Source organism: Homo sapiens, chromosome 19 (assembly GCF_000001405.40).
Source record: "Homo sapiens chromosome 19, GRCh38.p14 Primary Assembly".
Lineage (NCBI taxonomy): Eukaryota > Metazoa > Chordata > Mammalia > Primates > Hominidae > Homo > Homo sapiens.
The window spans coordinates 23,024,580-23,044,773 of NC_000019.10; positions in this window are offsets into that span (position 1 = coordinate 23,024,580).

A 20,194-nucleotide genomic window follows, 5' to 3' on the forward strand; every position below is an offset into this window, starting at 1 on the left:
TTCCTGTGGGCAGAGACCATTCAGGAGAGTCACATTACCTTAATGTTGGACCCAGCCATATATCACAATACACAGCATATCCAGAGTTCAAGCAGGGAAGAAAAATCACATCATCTAGTTGCTGGGTTTGATAATATGTCACAATCACTTGTTTTTGTAGAACCCAGACAGAAAAGAAGAGTCACATCTCCTGGTTGATGGATGCAGAGATAAGCCAAAAGACTCCTTGTGGCCAGGACCCAGGCGGGAGGTTCTCATGCCCTAGGTGTTTGTCTCAGCCATACGTCATATTACCAAATATATGCAGGGCCCAGGCAAACAAGGAGAGTCATAACACCTTGGTGCTAAGTTTAGTGATATGTTACGATCCCCACTTTTGGCAGGGCCGGGACACACACACACACAAAGTCACATCACCTAGGCAGTATAAAAAAAGATATGTCATAATACCCCTGTAGACAGGGTCCATTCAGAAGAGTCTCATCACCTAGCTTTTAGACTCAGTTATTTGTCACAATACACAATTTATGCAAGACTCAGTCAAAAGAGGAAAGTCATGTAACCTAGGTGCTGGGTCCAGTGATACATTACAATCTCTCCTTGGGTAAAGTCCAAGCACTAGAAAAGAGTTACATTACCTAGGTACTTGGTCCAGGAATATGTCACAATACCTCCTGAGGAAAGAGCCCAGGAAGGGGAGTCACATCACCTAATCGTGGGGTCCAAAGATATTTCCCAGTGCTTCTTGTAGGTAGAGCTGAGGATAAGCAAAAGAGTCACATAACCTAGGGGCTGGGCCCAGCTATATGTCACAACTACCCCAGGTGGCAAGTCTCTGGTATGAAAGGAGAATCACATCACATAGATACTGGGCCAAGCAATATGTCACAATCTCCACTGTAGGAAGGTCCCAGGAAAAGAGAAGAGTCACATTATCTGGGTGACGGGCACAGGAACATATCATAATTACCCTAAGCATATGTGTTACTGTCATGCGCAACCGCGTGAAGAGACCACCAAACAGGCTTTGTGTAAGCAATAAAGCTTTTTAATCACCTGGGTGCAAGCGGGCTGAGTCCGAAAAAAGAGTCAGCGAAGGGAGATAGGGGTGGGGCCGTTTTAAAGGATTTGGGCGGGTAGTGGAAAATTACAGTCAAAGGGGGTTTTTCTCTTGCAGGCAGGGGTGGGGGTCACAAGGTGCTCAGTGAGGGAGGTTCTGAGCCAGGAGAAGGAATTTCACAACATTAATGGCTCAGTTAAGGTGGGGCAGGAACAAATCACAATGGTGGAATGTCATCAGTTAAGGCAGGAACCAGCAATTTTCACTTCTTTTGTGATTCTTCACTTGCTTCAGGCCATCCGCATGTATTCCTGCAGGTCACAGGGGATATCATGGCTTAGCTTGGGCTCAGAGGCCTGACAGTTAGGTCACCTGTGTGTGAGGCCCAGTGATAAGCCACTCTTCCTTTTGTGCACAGGGTCTAAGCAAAAGATGAAAAGTCACATCACCTAGGTGCTGGGCTTACAGAATTGTCTCAATCTCTCCTATGGTCAAAGCCAATTTAAGAGACATAAATCATATTAGCTGCTCTGCCTATGGAGCAGCCATCTTTTTGTTTCTTTACTTCTCTAATAAACTTGGTTTCACTTTACTGCATGGACTCACCTTGGCTTCTTTCTTTCTTGCATGAGATCCAAGAACCCTTTCTTGGGGTGTGAATCAAAAGCCCTTTCCAGAACAGCTTTTTGGCAAACTATAAAGGGACTATACTGATGAGAAACCTGACCCAAAGGAAATAACTACAGCACCAATTAGCCTGCTTTGGGTAACTAGTGGGGTACATTTTTTTCACACACGTCCATGTGAAGAGACCACCAAACAGGCTTTGTGTGAGCAATAAAGCTTTTTAATCACCTGGATGCAGGTGGGCTGAGTCTGAAAAGAAAGTCAGTGAAGGGAGATAGGGGTAGGGCCATTTTATAGGATTCGGGTAGGTAATGGAAAATTACAGTCAAAGGGGGTTGTTCTCTGGTTGGCAGGGGTTGGGGGTCACAAGGTGCTCAGTGGGGGAGCTTTTGAGCCAGGATGAGCCAGGAGAAGGAATTTCACAAAGTAATGTCATCAGTTAAGGCAGGAACTGGCCATTTTCACTTCTTTTGTGATTCTTCACTTGCTTCAGGTCATCTGGATGAATACGTGCAGGCATGGGCTCAGAGACCTGACATTTATTAATATTTTCTTATATTAATAAGAAAAATAAAATAGTGTTGAAGTGTTGGGGCAGTGAAAATTTTTGGGAGTGGTATGGAGAGATAATGGGCGATGTTTCTCAGGGCTGCTTTGAGCGGGATTAGGGGCAGCGTGGGAACCTAGAGTGGGAGAGATTAAGCTGAAGGAAGATTTTGTGGTAAGGGGTGACATTGTGGGGTTGTTAGAAGGAGCATTTGTCATATCGAATGATTGGTGATGGCCTGGATGCAGTTTTGTATGAATTGAAAAACTAAACAGAAGACACAAGGTCTGAATAAGAGAAGGAGAAAAATAGGTATTAAAGGACTAAGAATTGGGAGGACCCAGGACATCCAATTAGAGAGTGTCCAAGGGGGTTCAGCATAATTACTTGCTTTGCTGGCAAGTTTTTGAGCTCTATCCTTGACAGAGTCCTCCTTTTTAAGTTGGAGGTTGAGTTTGCTGAGGTGTGTTTTTAAAAAACCATTAGTCTGTTCTACCTTTCCTGATGATTGAGGACGGTAAGGGGTATGAAGTTTCCACTGAATACCAAGAGCCTGAAAAACTGCTTGGGTGATTTGACTAATAAAGGCCAGTCCGTTATTGGACTGTATAGAGGTGGGAAGGCCAAACCAAGGAATTATGTCTTACAGAAGGGAAGAAATGACCATGGTGGCCTTTTCAGACCCTGTGGGAAAGGCCTCTACCTAACCAGTGAAAGTGTCTACCCAGACCAAGAGGTATTTTAGTTTCCTGACTCGAGACACGTAAGTAAAGTCAATTTGCCAGTCCTGGGCAGGGGTAAATCCCTGAGCCTGATGTGTATGGAAGGGAGGGGACCTGAAAAATCCCTGAGGAGTACTAGAATAGCAGATGGAACACTGAGAGGTGATTTCCTTGAGGACAGATTTCCACAATGGAAAGGAAATGAGAGGTTCTAAGAGGTGGGCTAGTGGCTTGTAACCTACATGGAAGAGGTTATGAAATGTTGATGGAATAGAATAGGCCTGTGAGGCTGGAAGGACATGGACATATTTTCCTTGGTCTAAGAACCATTTGCCTTGTGTGGGAAGAGATTCATAGGTGGAAGTTTCAGTGGGGGAGTAGGTGGGAGTGACCGATGAGAAGGAGAAAAACTGGCCATGAGGGACAGAAGTTGGAATGCTAGCTGCTTCTTTAGCTACCTCAGCAGCATAAGCGTTGTCCTGAGCTATGAGATCTGACGTCTTCTGATGGCCCTTGCAGTGAATGACTCCAGCTTCCTTTGGAAGTAAAGCGGCCTTGAGAAGAGTTTTTATTAAAGAGGCATTAAAGATGGAGGACCCTTGCATAGCGAGGAAACCTTTTTCAGCCCATATAACAACATGGTGGTGCAGGATATGGAAGGTATATTTAGAGTCAGTATGAATATTGACACATCATCAATATTTGTGAGAGTGAGGGTTCAAGTTAAGGCAATGAGTTCGACTTGCTGAGAGCTGGTGGAGGGGGCAGAGTGGTAGCCTCAATGATAGATGTGGAAGATACTATAGCATAGCCTGCCTTTGCTGATGAGCGGCGAGTAGGCCTGGTGGAACTGCCATTGATAAACCAAGTGTGATTAGAGTGAGGAACAAGAAAGAAGGAAATATGGGGAAATGGAGTGAATGTCAGGTGGATCAGGGAGATATAGTCATGGGGGTCAGGTGTGGTATCCGGAATAATGTGGGAGCCTGGATTGAAGTCTGGGCCAGGAACAATGGTAATTGTGGGAGGCTCAACAAAGAGTGAGTATAGCTGAAGGAGCTGGGGAGCAGAAAGTATATGTGTTAGCTGTGAGGAAGAAAATAGATTTTGGAAGTTATGAGAACTGTAGAGAGTGAGTTGAGCATAGTTTGTGATTTTGAGGGCCTCTAAAATATTAAAGCAGCGGCAGCCACAGCACACAGACATGAGGGCTAGGCTAAAACAGTAAGGTCAAGTTGTTTGGACAGAAAGGCTACAGGGCGCAGTCCCAGCTCTTCTGTAAGAACTCTGACCACACAGCCCTGCACTTCAGCTGTGTGTAATGAAAAGGGAGTGATGAGTTAGGGAGAGCTAGTGTGGGAGCTGTTTTTCAAGGAATGGAAAGGGGAGTGGGGAAAGGATTTAGGATCTATGGGGTAAGCTAGGTTTGCTTTTCTGAGTTTATATAATCGTTTAGTCAGGATGGTAAAACTAGGTATCCAAAGGCAGAAGTACCTAACCATGCCTAAGAAGGAAAGGAGTTGTTGTTTTATAGAAAGGGTTGGGGTTCAGAAGATTAGCCAGACATGATTAGCAGGGAGAGCTTGTGTGTTTTCATGAAGAATTATGCCGAGATAGGTAACAGATGGGGAATAAATTTGGGCTTGACTTAAGTAATGGGGGCTGTCCGTGAAGCCTTGTGGCAGTACAGCCCAGGTAATTTGCTGAGCCCAATGGGTGTCAGGGTCAGTCCAAATGAAAGCGAAGAGAGGCTGGGATGAAGGGTGCAAAGGAATAGTAAAGAAAGCATGTTTGAGATCCAGAACAGAATAACGGGTTGTGGAGGGGTTGTGGAGGGAGGTATTGAGGATAGGAGAGTATATGGGTTTGGCTCCACGGAGTGGATAGGCAAAACAATTTGGTTGATAAGGTGCAGATCCTGAACTAACTTGTAAGACTTGCCCAGTTTTTGGACAGGTAAAATGGGGGAATTGTAAGAAGAGTTTATAGGCTTTAAAAGACCATGCTGTAACAGGTGAGTGATAACAGGCTTTAATCCTTTTAAAGAGTGCTGTGGGATGGGATATTGGCATTCAGTGGCATAAGGGTGGTTAGGTTTTAACAGGATGGTAAGGGGTGCATGTTCGGTTGCCAAGGAAGGAGTAGAGGTGTCCTATACTTGTGGATTAAGGTGGGGAGAAACAAGGGGAGGAGGCAAAGGAGGCTTTGAACTGGGAAAAAGGGTAGCAATGAGGTGTGGCTGTAGCCTAGGAATAGTCAGGGAAGCAAATAATTTAGTTAAAATGCCTAGACCTGATAAGGGAACTGGGCAGGTGGGGATAACTAAAAAGGAGTGCATAAAAGAATATTGTCCAAGTTGGCACCAGAGTTGGGGAGTTTTAAGAGGTTTAGAAGCCTGGCCATCAATACCCACAACAGTTATGGAGACAAGGGAAACAGGCCCTTGAAAAGAAGGTAATATGGAATGGGCAGCCTCTGTGTTGATTAAGAAGGGGAAGGACTTACCCTCCACTGTAAGAGTTACTCAAAGTGTCTATGATGGTCCAGGAGGCTTCCGAGGTGATCAGAGCAGCATCAGTCTTCAGCTGCTAAGCCGAGAAGATATGGGAAAGAGTCAGTCAGAGCCTTGGGCCAATTGGACAGTCCAATTTCCAGTGGGGTCCCACACAGATGGGACATGGCTTAGGAGGAATCCTGGGCTGTGGGCATTCCTTGGCCCAGTGGCCAGATTTCCAGCACTTGAAGTAAGATCCTGGGGGAGGAGGTCCTGAAGGAACACCTGACTGCTGTGGCTTAGGCGTTTTGAAGTTCTTGTGTGCTGGAGATGTGGCTGGGGTTTCTCTCACAGCAGAGGAAAGTAATTGCAACTCTTCTCTATTATTGTACACCTTGAAGGTGAGGTTAATTAAGTCCTGTTGTGGGGTTTGAGGGCCAGAATATAATTTTTGGAGTTTTATTTAATGTTGGGAGCAGATTGGGTAATAAAATGCATATTGAGAATAAGATGGCCTTCTGACACTTCAGGGTCTAGGGCTGTAAAGTGTCTAAGGGTTGTTGCCAAACAGGCCATGAACTGCGCTGTGTTTTTATATTTGATGATAAAGAGCCTAAACGCTAACTGATTTGGGAGAGGTCAGATAAAGAAAAAGGAGCATTAACCTTGACTATGCCTTTAGCTCCAGCCACCTTTTTAAGAGGAAATTGCTGGGCAGGTGGGGGAGAGCTAGTCACGAAACAAAACTGTAAGCCAGACCAGGTGTGAGCAGGGGAGGTGATAAAGGATTATAGGGTTGGGGAAGAGAGGCTGAGGAAGAATCAGGACCTGACTCGGCCTGGCAAGGAGCAGTCTGGGGAGGAGAGGTCAGATGGGTCTGTAGAAAAGGATTCAAAAGACTCAGTGACACTTGGGGTTGGGACTGAAGGGACAGGTGGGAGGGAAAGAAGGAGGATTTGGGATGAGTTGCATTGGGAACGGAGACTAGGGAGGGACCGATGTGTAAAAGAATGCCTGGACATCAGGCACCTCAGATCATTTGCCCATTTTTCAACAAAAATCATCCAGGTCTTGTAAAATGGAGAAATCAAAAGTACCATTTTCTGGCTATTTAGAACCATTATCGAGTTTGTATTGGGGCCAAACAGTGTTGCAGAAGAAAATAAAATGCTTAGGTTTTAGGTCAGGTGAGAATTGAAGAGGTTTTAAGTTTTTGAGAACATAGGATAAGGGAGAAGAAGGGGGAATGGAGGGTGGAAGGTTGCCCATAGTGAAGGAGGCAAGCCCAGAGAAAAGAGAGGGTAGAGACACAGAGAAGGGGTGGGTAGTGAGCAGCCCTGGGCTGCAATGTGGGTGAGCAGCCAAAGCAGGCATCCCCACAATTGACTTGCCACTAAGGAAATGTGGGTGAATGACCAAGGCAGGCATCCCAGTGGTGATCAGACACAAATGGAGTGTGGGTGAATAATTAGGCAGGCATCCCAGCAGTGATTAAACACCAAGGGAAGACTGTCTTCCCGAGTCTGTGACTGGCGCTGGAGTTTTGGGTCCACGGATAAAAGTGTCTCCTTTGTCTCTACTAGCGAGGAAAAAGAACTGGAATTGGAAGGACAGGGAGATTGAAGGGTAGCAAGAGAGGCTGGAGAAGAGAGTGAAAAGACAGCTTACCCAATTTGAAATTGGTGAGATGTTGCTTGGGCTGGTTGGTCTGAGGACCCGAGGTTGTAGGTGGATCTCCTTATGGAGTGAGGGCGAGGACAGGGGACCGGTCTCCCAAAGGAGTCCTCCTATCCTGGGTCTTCGGCACCAAATGTCACGTGCATCTGTGTAAAGAGACCACCAAACAGTCTTTGTGTGAGCAACAAGGCTATTTATTTCACCTGGGAACAGGCTGGCTGAGTCCAAAAAGAGAGTCCGCGAAGGGAGATAGGGGTGGGGCTGTTTTATAGGATTTGGGTAGGTAGTGGAAAATTACAGTCAAAGGGGGTTGTTCTCTGGCGGTCAGGGGTGGGGGTCACAAGGTTCTCAATGGGGGAGGTTCTGAGCCAGGAGAAGGAATTTCACAAGGTAATGTCATCAGTTAAGGCAGGAACAGGCCATTTTCACTTCTTTTGTGATTCTTCACTTGCTTCAGGCCATCTGGATATATACATGCAGGTCACAGGGGATATGATGGCTTAGCTTGGGCTCAGAGGTGTGACAAAAATCAAGAAAAATACTTCAGTCCGCTGAGAAAAATTCTTTTTCCAACAAAACAACATCCAAGAAAGAAAAACATTAAGGCCTTTTTTTTTTTTTTTTTTTTTTTTGAGACAGAGTCTCACTGTGTCACCCAGGCTGGAGTGCAGTGGCACAATCTTGGCTCACTGCAACCTCTGCCTCCTGGATTCAAGCAGTTCTCCTATCTCAGCCTCCTGAGTAGCTGGGACTACAGGTGCATGCCACCACACCCGGCTAATTTTTTTGTATTTTTAGTAGAGATGGGGTTTCACCATATTGGTCAGGCTGGTCTCAAACTCCTGACCTCAGGTGATACATCCGCAAGGCCTTTTAAATATACTTATAACTTGGATGTCCACTTTTAATTAAGCTGATCGCTCTTTAAGAAAATTCTTTTAACTCCCTTATTACTTAACTTTAGCCATGCCAAGCAGCCATTATTTCTGGCTTCCAAATTTTATTAGAAGTTCAGAGAAAGGAGAATCGAAGGCAGTTCATAAAGGAAAAAAGAATTAGCAAAAAGCAAAAGTCACACAGACATCAAACCAGAAAGAACTCATTTTCTAAGCCAGGATTAAACCCCAGACAACCATTGTAAAATCGCAAAGGCTAGAACAAAACATTATCATCGTCAGGCCTCTGAGCCCAAGCTAAGCCATCATATCCCCTGTGACCTGCACGTATACATCCAGATGGCCTGAAGCAAGTGAAGAATCATAAAAGAAATGAAAATGGACAGTTCCTGCCTTAACTGATGACATTACCTTGTGAAATTCCTTCTCCTGGCTCAGAAGCTCCCCCACTGAGCACCTTGTGACCACCGCCCCTGCCCGCCAGAGAACAACCCCCTTTGACTGTAACTTTCCACTACCTACCCAAATCCTATAAAGAGGCCCCACACCTATGTCCCTTCACTGACTCTCTTTTCGGACTCAGCCCACCTGCACCCAGGTGATTAAAGCGCTTTATTGCTCACACAAAGCCTGTTTGGTGGTCTCTTCACACAGACGTGCGTGACAACCATGTGGTGGTTGTGACTTAAAACCGGATGGAGGCCTGCAGCAAAGTTTGCTACAGACCATACAGCACACAAAGCACACCAGATTGGCTACTTAAGATCAAGCTCACAAATTTTTCCTACAATAAAAACTCTACAGAAGATATAAACAGTGATGTTCATCATTCCTGGATCAACAGAATGTCCTCCAAAGAGAAAAAAAAGAAAACACGCTTAAAAGTCAACTGCTGGCTATGTGCGTGGCTCATGCCTGTAATCCCAGCACTTTGGGAGGCCAAGGTGGGTGGCTCACCTGAGGTCAGGAGTTTGAGACCAGCCTGGCCAACATGGCAAAACCCTGTCTGTCTGTACTAAAAATACAAAAATTAGCCAGGCGTGGTGATGCACGCCTGTATCCCAGCTACTCATGGAGGCTGAGGCAGGAGAATCACTTGAACTCGGGAAGCAGAGGTTGCAGTGAGCCAAGATCACACCACTGCACTCCAGCCTAGGTAACATAAGTGAAACTCTATCTCAAAAAAAAAAAAAAGAAAAGTCAACCCTGACAAGGTAGAAAAAAAAGAAAAGATGCCTGGGGAAGAACGTCTTATTCTTATGCAAATGGGCTTCTCTACCAGAGAGAGAAACTTCATTGCTCCCTAATAAAGTGGGATCTTTTGGCTGGGGGAGGGCAAGCCTCTATGGATGCATGGCAGGGAGTGCTGGCCAGCCTGGCATCGGGCACCCTGTAACCATGGACTCCAGCCCTAGTTGGGAGTGGTGTGGGGAAGCTGCCATTCCCTGGTCCATCCTCCACATACCTGCAGCCATTGGGGTGGGGTGGGGTGCACTCTCAAAGGAGGTCTGAAGAGAAAAAGGCTTAGAAATAAAAGGAAAGAAGGTTTTTGAGTTTGTATGGTACTCACCCTTCCTCAAGCCCCATGTCTGGAAACCAAAAATGTTATAGGAAAAAAACCAGTTTCTTGTAAAATTACCAGGAAATATTAGGTTCACAGACACATAGAGGGGCGAGGAGCAGAATTTATTAGGCAAAAAGGAAGAAGAAAACAACTCAATAAAATGAGATGGGGTCCTGCTAACAAGCTCTCCACCTCACCGATTGAATTCCAGGTCCCCATACAGGAACAGGAGAGGCCAGGAAACTCCTCCTGCAGACGGTGTGAACTTCCTGAGGCTCTGCCCCATCCTCCCAGTGCATAGGCCGGTTTGAGATTCTCTGAGGACTCATTTTTACTTGGCTGTCTCAATACATAGGCATTAGCCTTGGCAACTGACTTCTAGAAATCTGCTATGCAATTAGAGCTTTACAAACATTAAGCAAATATTTTATCATTTAATCTCTGTGGTTTTCTTTTCTTTTTTTTTTCCTTTTTCTTGAGAGAGACTATCTCTGTCACTCAGGGTGGAGCGCAGTGGCGTGATCACAGCTCATTGCAGCCTCAACAATCTAGGCTCAAGCACTTTTGCTACTTCAGCCTCTGAGCAGCAGAGACCCCAGGCATGTGCCACCATGCTCAGCTAATCTCCCATTTTTCTTTTTGTAGAGATAAGCTCTCCCTATGTAGCATAGGCTGGTCTCGCATGTCATTCACATAGCCCGTGAAAAAGCTGGCCCTCCTACTTTAGCCTTTTAATATGCAAAGGCAGGGCGCCATGGATGTTCTACACACGTGGAGATATGTGGGGGTGGCCATGTTGCCAGGAACATTTGGTGCAAGGGCAAGAAGGCCACGAGGGAATCACCAAATTGGGTGGACCAAGTTTCTAAGGGCCTGCATTTGTATATCAAAAGTTGCCAGCCTGGCTCTAAGAGCTGGGGCTTTAAAAGAAACTTTTCCAGAGATACTTTAAAAAATGAAAACTTCCCAAGGACCTATTTTCCTCTAATCCACGTAAAATAATTTCTTAATAACTCCTACCACACAGGGCTAGGATTACAGGCATGAGCCACTACATGCAGACAGAGGTTTTATTTTTATATCAAAATATAAAAATAGCATTAGCCAGGCACGGTGGCTCACGCCTGTAATCCCAGCACTTTGGGAGCCCAAGGCAGGCAGTTCATGAGGTCAGGAGTTCCTAGACCAGCCTGACCAATATGGTGAAATCCCGTCTCTACTAAAAATACAAAATTAGTCAGGCATGGTGGCACACACCTGTAATCTCAGCTACTCAGGAGGGTGAGGCAGGAGAATTGCTTGAACCTGGGAGGCAGAAATGGCAGTAAGCCAAAATTGTGCCACTGCACTCCAGCCTGGGGGACAGAGCAAGACACCATCTCAAAAAAAAAAGGAAAAAAAAAAAAAGAAAAAATTAGCTGGGTGTGGTGGCACATGCCTGTAATCCTAGCTACTCTGGAGGCTGAGGCAGAAGAATCACTTGAACCTGGAAGGCGGAGGTTTCAGTGAGCCAAGATTGCACCATTGTACTCCAGTCTGGGTAACAAGAGCTAAACTCCATCTCAAAAAAACAAAACACAACAAAAAAAAAGAAAGCAAATTCAAATAAATAAAAATAACAAAATATCATATAGTATAGATAATATGACCAGAAAGAAAAAAAAAAGCTTAGCTTTCCTGACTTTAAGCTGCATTAGTACTATAGTACTAATAGAATATCCTTAGTGAAGACTATTCTATTTCCATAAAAAATTCAACATAAGATAATTTTCAGGTTTTAGAAATTGATGAATAACATAATATAGAAAGGCAGCAATGTGTTCCCATGATGTAGTATTGTTGTGGGACAATCAGAGATGGGAGAGACCGAACAGAGTTCAGGAAAGCCTTTATTAAGGTGATCACCTGGCTCAGTAGGACTAGAGTCCAGGAAAGTGAGCCCCAGACAAAGAAAGCAGCCACCTTTTAAGCAGTCAGCAGCCGGGAGCTACGTGATGCAGGAAGCATACTTACAGAAGTGAGAACAGAGGCAGTTGATCAGTCTTTTACATTTATCTATACTATGTGTTCCACATCCTTGGGAAACCATGTTTCTGTAACATATGCTTACCAACCTTGTAACTGCAGCTGCGCTAGGGAGGTGAAGCAGAAACTCACTGAGCCTCAAGGAATGTGAAACTGGTGAGTACAGATAAGGCTCTCTGAGCACAGAAGGAAAAACAGGCAGTTAGTATTCTTCTCTAACTTAGACTTTGTTGGGGGGCTACACTACACTTAGCTTTTGAAGGAAAAAATAAAAATTTCTTGGTTGTCTTTGATTACACTTGTAAAATTCATGATTCCTTCTTTAGTATTACTTGAAATAAAAACTGAGCAAATACAGCAAAATACATTTTAAAGTTAATCTCATGTCAAAATAGGTACAGAAGTTCTAATAAAATAATAAATGGAATCCAGAAATGTATTAAAAATAATATGTTGTATATATATGTATTGTATTAGAATGTCAATGCAATTAAAGATGGAAAATGTGTTGTTTAATTACATGAAAAGTTTAAAAAGTGACCATTCTCTATGATTCTGAAAACAGGAATTGTCTCAACAGATGTGTTTTCGCATCTACATTTACCTACACATATTTTATATGACATCTATCTATTCTTTATCCATTCATAGAATGTATAAAAAAAGAATGGATTTAAAATGAATAGCATCTGATAAAAGAAGCACTTAAATGTATTATGAAAGTTACTTTATTACATAGTGTCCAGATACTTATATGTTCCCTCAGAAATTATAAAATAAGATTGTATCAACTCTTCCAGGTAATTTAAGAAAATATTTTAAAAATATGTGGATAAGGTTATTAGCTGAAAATAAGAGAGAATACATTCATTTGCACAGATAAAGAGAACACTTTTTAAATACAAAAAGTATCACGAAAAATGCAGATAATGTACATTATCTAAAAAATACTAAATCTAAAAAACAACTCAGTGCTATAAGATTTATGCAGCATAGAGAAATTATATATAAATATCAACTGTTTATATTTACTTTTTTGAGAGAGGGTCTCACTCCATTACCCAGGCTGGAGTGCAGTGGCTTGATCATGGCTCACTGCAGCGTCAACTCCCTGGGCTCAGGTGATTCTCCCATCCCAGCCTCTTAATTAGCTGACACTACAGGTGTATGATACCACACCCAGCTAGTTTTATGTACTTTTTTGTAGAAATGAGGTTTCGCCGTGTTTCCCAGGCTGAACTCGAACTCCTGAGCTCAAGCAACCCGCCTGCCTAGGCTTCCCAAAGTGCTGAAACTACAGGCATTAGCAACCATGCCCTGCCTGAATATGGATATTTTAAATAACTTCAGTGTGAAATACTAAACACAGTTCAAAATGTATTTTACTTATATGCAATGAGTTGAACAAACATTCAAGAGCTAAATGATGAGTAAATATAAGGCCCAACAACCAGGGGCATGATAATGCAAACAGCTAATGTGTGGAGCACTCTTGCTTTGCCAGCCTGTGTTTCAAAGCATTTTAAATATTTTTGCTCATTAAATCCTCATCAGCAAAAACTCTGTAAGTTTAATTATTCCCCATGTCACAGACAAGTGACTGAAGGAAAAAAAATTCAGGGACTTGTCCAAGGCCACCCATATAGGGAGTGGTTGAGCTAAGGTGTGCTCTGACTTACTCCTCTCTGCTTCTCTTGAATAGAAAGTGCTATAATTCATTGATTAAAAAAACTACTCTTGGCCGGACATGGTGGCACATGCCTATAATCCTAGCACTTTGGGAGGCTGAGGCAGGTGGATCACAAGGTCAAGAGATCAAGATCATCCTGGCCAACATGGTGAAACCCTGTCTCTACTAAAAATACAAAAATTAGCTGGGTGTGGTGGCACATGCCTGTAGTCTCAGCTACTTGGGAGGCTGAGGCAGAAGAATTGCTTGAACCCGGGAGGTGGAGGTTGCAGTGAGCCAAGATCGTGCCACTGCACTCCAGCTGCGTGATGGAGCAAGACTCTGTCAAAAACAAAAACAAAAAAACTACTCTTTGAGCACCTGCCATGGACCAAGCACTGTGATTGGCACTAGGAACATAGTGGTAAACTAGACACAGCTCCCAGGAGCAAAGACATAAAGAAGTAAACAACAAACCTCAAGATCATTTCAGAGAATGTGAAGTGCCAGGACATGCTGCTGCTATAAAGAATGTGTGTGCACAGGGCTAATGGGGGTGAGCTCTAGTTAAAATGAGGTGGGTAGAACAAAGCTTCCCAGGGAGAGCCAGAGCTGAGCCAGGCCTGGTGGCTCCTATCAGTGTGAGAATGTGGTTATATTCTGTCTCAGTTTTTTTGTATGCAGCCCTTAAAATCTTTGGAATGTCTGATATGAGAAATGTCTTTCGCATGCTAATGAGATTACTGCTTTCCAGGGGCTTCTGGACAGCCTCAGAATGGGGATTGGTTGCCAGAAAAACCAATCCTGTAATACAGAGTTAAAACTTTCAGCTTAACCCCTTATCTCCTGGGATGTTAGAGGAGCTATCTTGCCTTTGTAAAAGTAAAAATAGTACCTTATACCATTTAAATGAATAGATAAATTGTTCAAAAAAGGGGCATATCATTAAAAAGCTCCTCTGCCCCAGCCTGACTACTTAAAGTACCCATTAGGGGAAGTTTTTTTGGTATCCTTCTGAAATTGCTTTCTGTCTTTCCATGCATACCATCCTTAGGAAAGGGCACACTTTTTTGAGACGGAGTCTTGCTCTGTCTCCCAGGCTGGAGTGCAGTGGCCCGATCTCGGCTGACTACAACCTCCACCTCCCGAGTTCCAGTGATTCTCCCACCTCAGCCTCCCAAGTAGTTGGGATTATAGGCACCCACCACCACACCAAGCTAATTTTTTGTATTTTTAGTAGAGATGGGGTTTCACCATGTCAGCCAGGCTGGTCTTGAACTCCTGACCTCAAGTGATCTGCCCATCTCTCCCAAAGTGCTGGGATTATAGGCATGAGCCACCATGCTCGGCCTGGGCACACTCTTAAACCAATCTGTAATCTCTGTTCCTGAGGTTTTAGTAACCTGATATTTCTCTCCTGTTGGAGACAACCCTGAAAATGAGTTTTCACCTCAGAGAACAGACCAACAAAAGGTCAGGTGAGCTTAAAAAAGCTGGCGGGGGGATTTGGGTCCAGAAAGGGCAGGCTGGCCATACATTCAGGGGCATCAGTGTGACTGTCTTTGCAATTAGGAGCCAGGCCCCACAGAGCTTCCCACTGCATGTGTGTTTGACCTATGCTGGGCCCTGATGTTGATTCGTTTCCTTCACTGAGCAGGTGGCTCATAGTTGGGCTATTATACCCAGGAGAATGTTCCAGGCCAGCCCCTAGTTAACTTAAAATAATCAAAAAGTTTAGAATCAAATTTGAAACAAATTTATTCAGGGTCGCATATTGAGGATCACCTCCATAAGGATAGATTTAAATTGCCCTGAATATATATTCTGATTAGCAGCCATTACAAGCAGGTATTTCTATGAAAATGAGAAGGCAGTTCTAAAGTGGTTTACCAAAAATTTACATTAAAATACATAAGCTATTGATTAGCTATTTTTCTTTATTTTACAAATTTCAGAAAAAAGAAATAATGGGTGAGACAGCCAGTCAGAAACACAATGTAAGGTCCTCTGAACAGGCTACACCATGGTGGAGCCATTGCAACCTCTGTGACCCACATGTACAGGCCTCCTGGAGTCACAAAGCCTGTAGCAACAGGAGAACCACTAAAGAAGAAGAAACAGCTAGTTCCTGCCTTAACTGATTAACCAACCTTGCAACATTCCACCATTGTGATATGTTGCTGCCCTTCCCTAACTAATCAATCGACTTTGTGATATCGTGCCTTGTAACCTCCCCCTACCTCGTGACTATGCACCTTGTGACATTCTTCCCCTGCCTGAAAAAACTGCCCTAACTGTAACTTTCCACTACCTACCCCAAACCTATAAAACCACTTCCACTGACACCACCCTTTGCTGACTCCCTTTTTGGACTCAGCTCATTCGCACCTGAGTGAATAAACAGCCTTGTTGCTCACAGTAAGCCTGCTAAGGTGGTCTCTTATACAGATGCACATAACACATAACATCTTTTTTTTTTTTTTTTTTTTTGAGATGGAGTCTTACTCTGTCACCAGGCTGGAGTGCAATGGCACTTTTTCAGCTCACTGCAACCTCTGCCTTCCGGGTTCATGCCATTCTCCTGCCTCAGCCTCCTGAGTAGCTGGGACTACAGGCACCTGCCACCACACCTGGCTAATTTTTGTATTTTTAGTAGAGATGGGGTTTCACCCTGTTGGCCAGGATGGTCTCGATCTCTTGACCTCATGATCCACCCGGCTCGGCCTCCCAAAGTGCTGGGATTACAGGCATGAACCACTGTGCCCAGCAACACATAATAGCTTTAAACAATTGACCCTGGGCACAGGTGTGGAGTGAGACTGAAGTCCTAGACTCTCATCTCTCTGGGCTTGATGAATTGTGCAGAACGCACAAAGCTGAGACTGCCATGAGCTATTTTTCTTCTCTCACCCCCTTGCTTAGGTCACATGAACTATAAAGAGGAAACAAATTCAAATTAGAGACTTGTCAACCCACAAAAATAATGCCTGAAGATGCCTTCCAGGAATCTGGCTCCTACCTCCTTTCCCCACCCTGCCATCAACCATCAACTCCCCTTACACACACACACCCTGGATCACAAGAAAGACAAAACCATTTCACCAGCCACTGAGAGAGGAGCCACAGAAGGACCCAGAACCCCTGCATGGCCACCTTGGACAAGCCTAGAATATACTGACAGCCATTGTTAGCATCCAGGAGCTATTTATTCCCATCTTCGCACTACAGTAAAGAATTTTGTTTTTTGAGACAGAGTCTCACTCTGCCCGGACTGGTGTTCAGTGGCTTGATCTCAGTTCATTGCAACCTCTGCCTCCAAGATTCAAGAGATTCTCCTCCCTCAGCCCCCCTTGTAGCTGGGATTACAGGCACCTGCCACCATGCCTAATTTTTGTATTTTTTTTTTTTTTAGTAGAGACAGGATATCGTCATGTTGGCCAGGCTGATCTCGAACTCCTGACCTCAGGTGATCTGCCAACCTTGGCCTCCCAAAGTGCTGGGATTACAGGTGTGAGCCGCTCGAAAGCAGCCTGGCCAACATTGCGAAACCCCATCTCTACTAAAAATACAAAAATTAGCCAGGTATGGTGGTGCGTGCCTGTAATCCCAGCTACTAGGGGTTTGAGGCAGGAGGATCACTTGAACTCGAGAGGTGGAGGTTGCAGTGACCCGATATCCTGCCATTGCACTCCAGCCTGGGCAACAGAGCGAGACTCTGTCTCAAAAACGACAAAAACAACAACAACAAAACTTTAAACAGTCACAAGGAAGATTGTCTAGACTGTCTAGATTCCCTAGACTAGCTGGAAGCTGGTGCTTGCAACATCCCGTATCCCCCAGGAGCTCACTGCTGCAGTCTCAGGTACACACCTGCCCATGTGCCATTCAAATGAAACAACTGTTATCAAGGAACCAGAGTTCCTGCAATGGTCGTGCTTCAGTCTGGGGTGCATTAGTGACCAGCTAGCAGGGTCTTGCCTGTGTAAACCAAAAGTTATCTGAGACAGGTCTCAATGTAGAAAGCTTATTTTCCCAAAGTTAAGAATGAGCCCATGACACAGCCTCAGGAGGTCCTGGTGACATGTACCCAAGGTGGTCGGGATATAGCTTGCTTTTATGCATTTTAAGAAGACAAATTAGCTGGGCTTGGTGGCATATGCCTGTAGTCCCAGCTGCTCAGAGGCTGAGACAGGAAAATTGCTTGAACCCGGGAGGTGGAGGCTGCAGTGAGCCAAGATCACACCACTGCACTCCAGCCTGGGTGACAGAGTGAGACTGTTTCAAAAAAAAAAAGAAGACATAAGACATCAATCAATATGTATAAGATGTACATTGGTTTCGCCTGTTAAGGGGGGTCAGCTTGAGATTGGGGCTGCCAGGTCATAAGTAAATAAAAGACAAAAGGATAAATTCTTTTGAGTCCTTGATCAGCCTTCCACTGAATACAAAATTTAGTCTGGCTCAGTGAATCTGCATTTCTAAATTAACAATAGGGGCCAGGCACAGTGGCTCACATCTGTAATCCCAGCACTTTGGGAGGCTGAGGTGGGTGGATCACTTGAGGTCAGGAGTTCAAGACCAGCCTGGCCAACATGGTGAAACCCTGTCTCCTCTAAAAACACAAAAATTAATTGGGCATGGTGGCGGGCACCTGTAATCCCAGCTACTTGGGGGCTGAGACAGGAGAATCACTTGAACCTGAGAGGTGGAGGTTGCAGTGAGGTGAGATCATGCCACTGCACTCCAGCCTGGATGATAGAGCGAGACTCTGTCTCAAAAATGTAAAATAAATTAGCAATAGGGCAGGGGAGGCAATCAGATATTCATATGTCTCAGGCAAGTCTCAGAGGGATGACTTTGAGTTCTGTCTGTCATTTGTTCACACAAGAAATGTCTGTGGGCAAATTGTGAAGAAGGTATGTAGCTTTTATTTATCTTTGTAGCTATCTTATTTAGAAATAAAATGGAAGGCAGATTTGCCCGACATAGTTCTCAGATTGACTTTTCCAGTGGCTTAGTAATTTTCACGTCACGAGATTTATTTTCCTTTCACAGCAGGGACCCCTTTTATTATCAAGTGTATCTGTTTAAACTAGACAGACTAAAACAAGATGTCTATTCATAAGTTACAAATGGAGGTTAATAGAAAACTCATAAACACAAATATAACTATCCTACATCTTTCAAAATAGCCCATCCTAATTCTTCCATTTCTTGTTCACTATAATTCATGTAGATTTTTTTCATAATTTTATAGTGGATCTCAATATCAGAGGTGTTCAAACCAGAGCAACTCCATCTCAAAAAGTAGCTGGGTAAAATGAGGCTGAGACCTACTGGGCTGCATCCCCAGGTTAGGCATTCATAGTTACAGGATGAGATAGGAGATCAGCACAAGATACACTGCACTTAGCAATATGTCACAATCTTCCCTGTGAGCAGGGCACAGGCAGAATAGAGGAGTCACATATTTAGGTCATGGATGCAGAGATTTGTCACAAAGGCCCTGTGGGTGGGGTCAAGAAAGGAGCTTCCCATCCCCTAGGTGTTGGGCCCAGCAATATATCACAATACCCAATACACAGGAAAAAGGTAGAGTCATATCACCTAGGTGCTCGGTCCAGTGATATTTCACAACTGTTCTTTGTGTGGCAGATTCTAGTCAAAAAAGGAGAGTCACAACACTTAAGTGATGAAAAATATGTCATAACACCTTTCTGAACAGAGACCATGCAGGAGACTCATACTACCTAGGTGTTGGACCCAGCCATATTTCACAATACACAATGTGTGCAGAGACCAGGCACAAAAAAAAACAAAAACAAAAATAAGTCACGCCAGACGTGGTGGCTCACGCCTGTAATCCCAGCACTTTGGGAGGCTGAGGCAGGCAGATCATGAGGTCAGGAGATTGAGACCATCCTGGCCAACATGGTGAAACCCCGTCTCTACTAAAAATACAAAAATTAGGCCAGGCGCGGTGGCTCACGCCTGTAATCCCTACACTTTGGGAGGCCGAGGTGGGTGGATCACCTTAGGTCAGGAGTTCGAGACCAGCATGACCAACATGGTGAAACCCCATCTCTAGTAAAAATACAAAATTAGCCAGGTGTGGTGGCACATGCCTGTAATCCCAGTTACTTGGGAGGCTGAGGCAGGAGAATTGCTTGAACCCAGGAGGCAGAGATTGCAGTGAGGCAAGATCATGCCAATACACTCTAGCCTGGTGACAGAGTGAGACTCTGTCTCAAAATTAAAAATAAAAAAAGTCCCATGTTGGGGCCAGGTGCGGTGGCTCACCCCTGTAATCCCAGCACTTGGGAGGTTGAGGCAGGAGGATCACCTGAGGTCAGGAGTTCGAGACCACCCTGGCCAACATGGTGAAACTCCATCTCTACTAAAAATACAAAAATTAGCCAGGCATGGTTGTGTGTGCCTGTAATCCCAGCTACTCAGGAGGCTGAGGCAGGAGAATCACTTTAATCCAGGAGGCGGAGGTTTCAGTGAGCAGAGACATGCCATTGCACTCTAGCCTGGGCAACACAGTGAGACTCCGTCTAAAAAAAAAAAAAGGTCACATTTTGTGCAGAGCCCAAACAGTAGAAGAGAGTCATATCACCTAAGTTCTGGGTCCAGAAATGTCACAGTACCCTCTGAGGGAAGACCCCTGGCAGAAAAGTCACATCATCTAGGTGAGAGGCTCAGAGATATGTCACAATGCCCCCTGTGGGTAGGGCTCAGGAAGAAGAGAAAGATCACATAACCTAAGAGCTGGGCCGAGCTACATATCACAACCACCCAGTGGGCAGGGCCAAAGCATGAGAAAAGAGTCACATCACATAGGTGCTAAACCAAGTGATACATCACAATCCCCACTGTGGACAGGTCCCGGGAAGAAGAGGAGTCACATCAT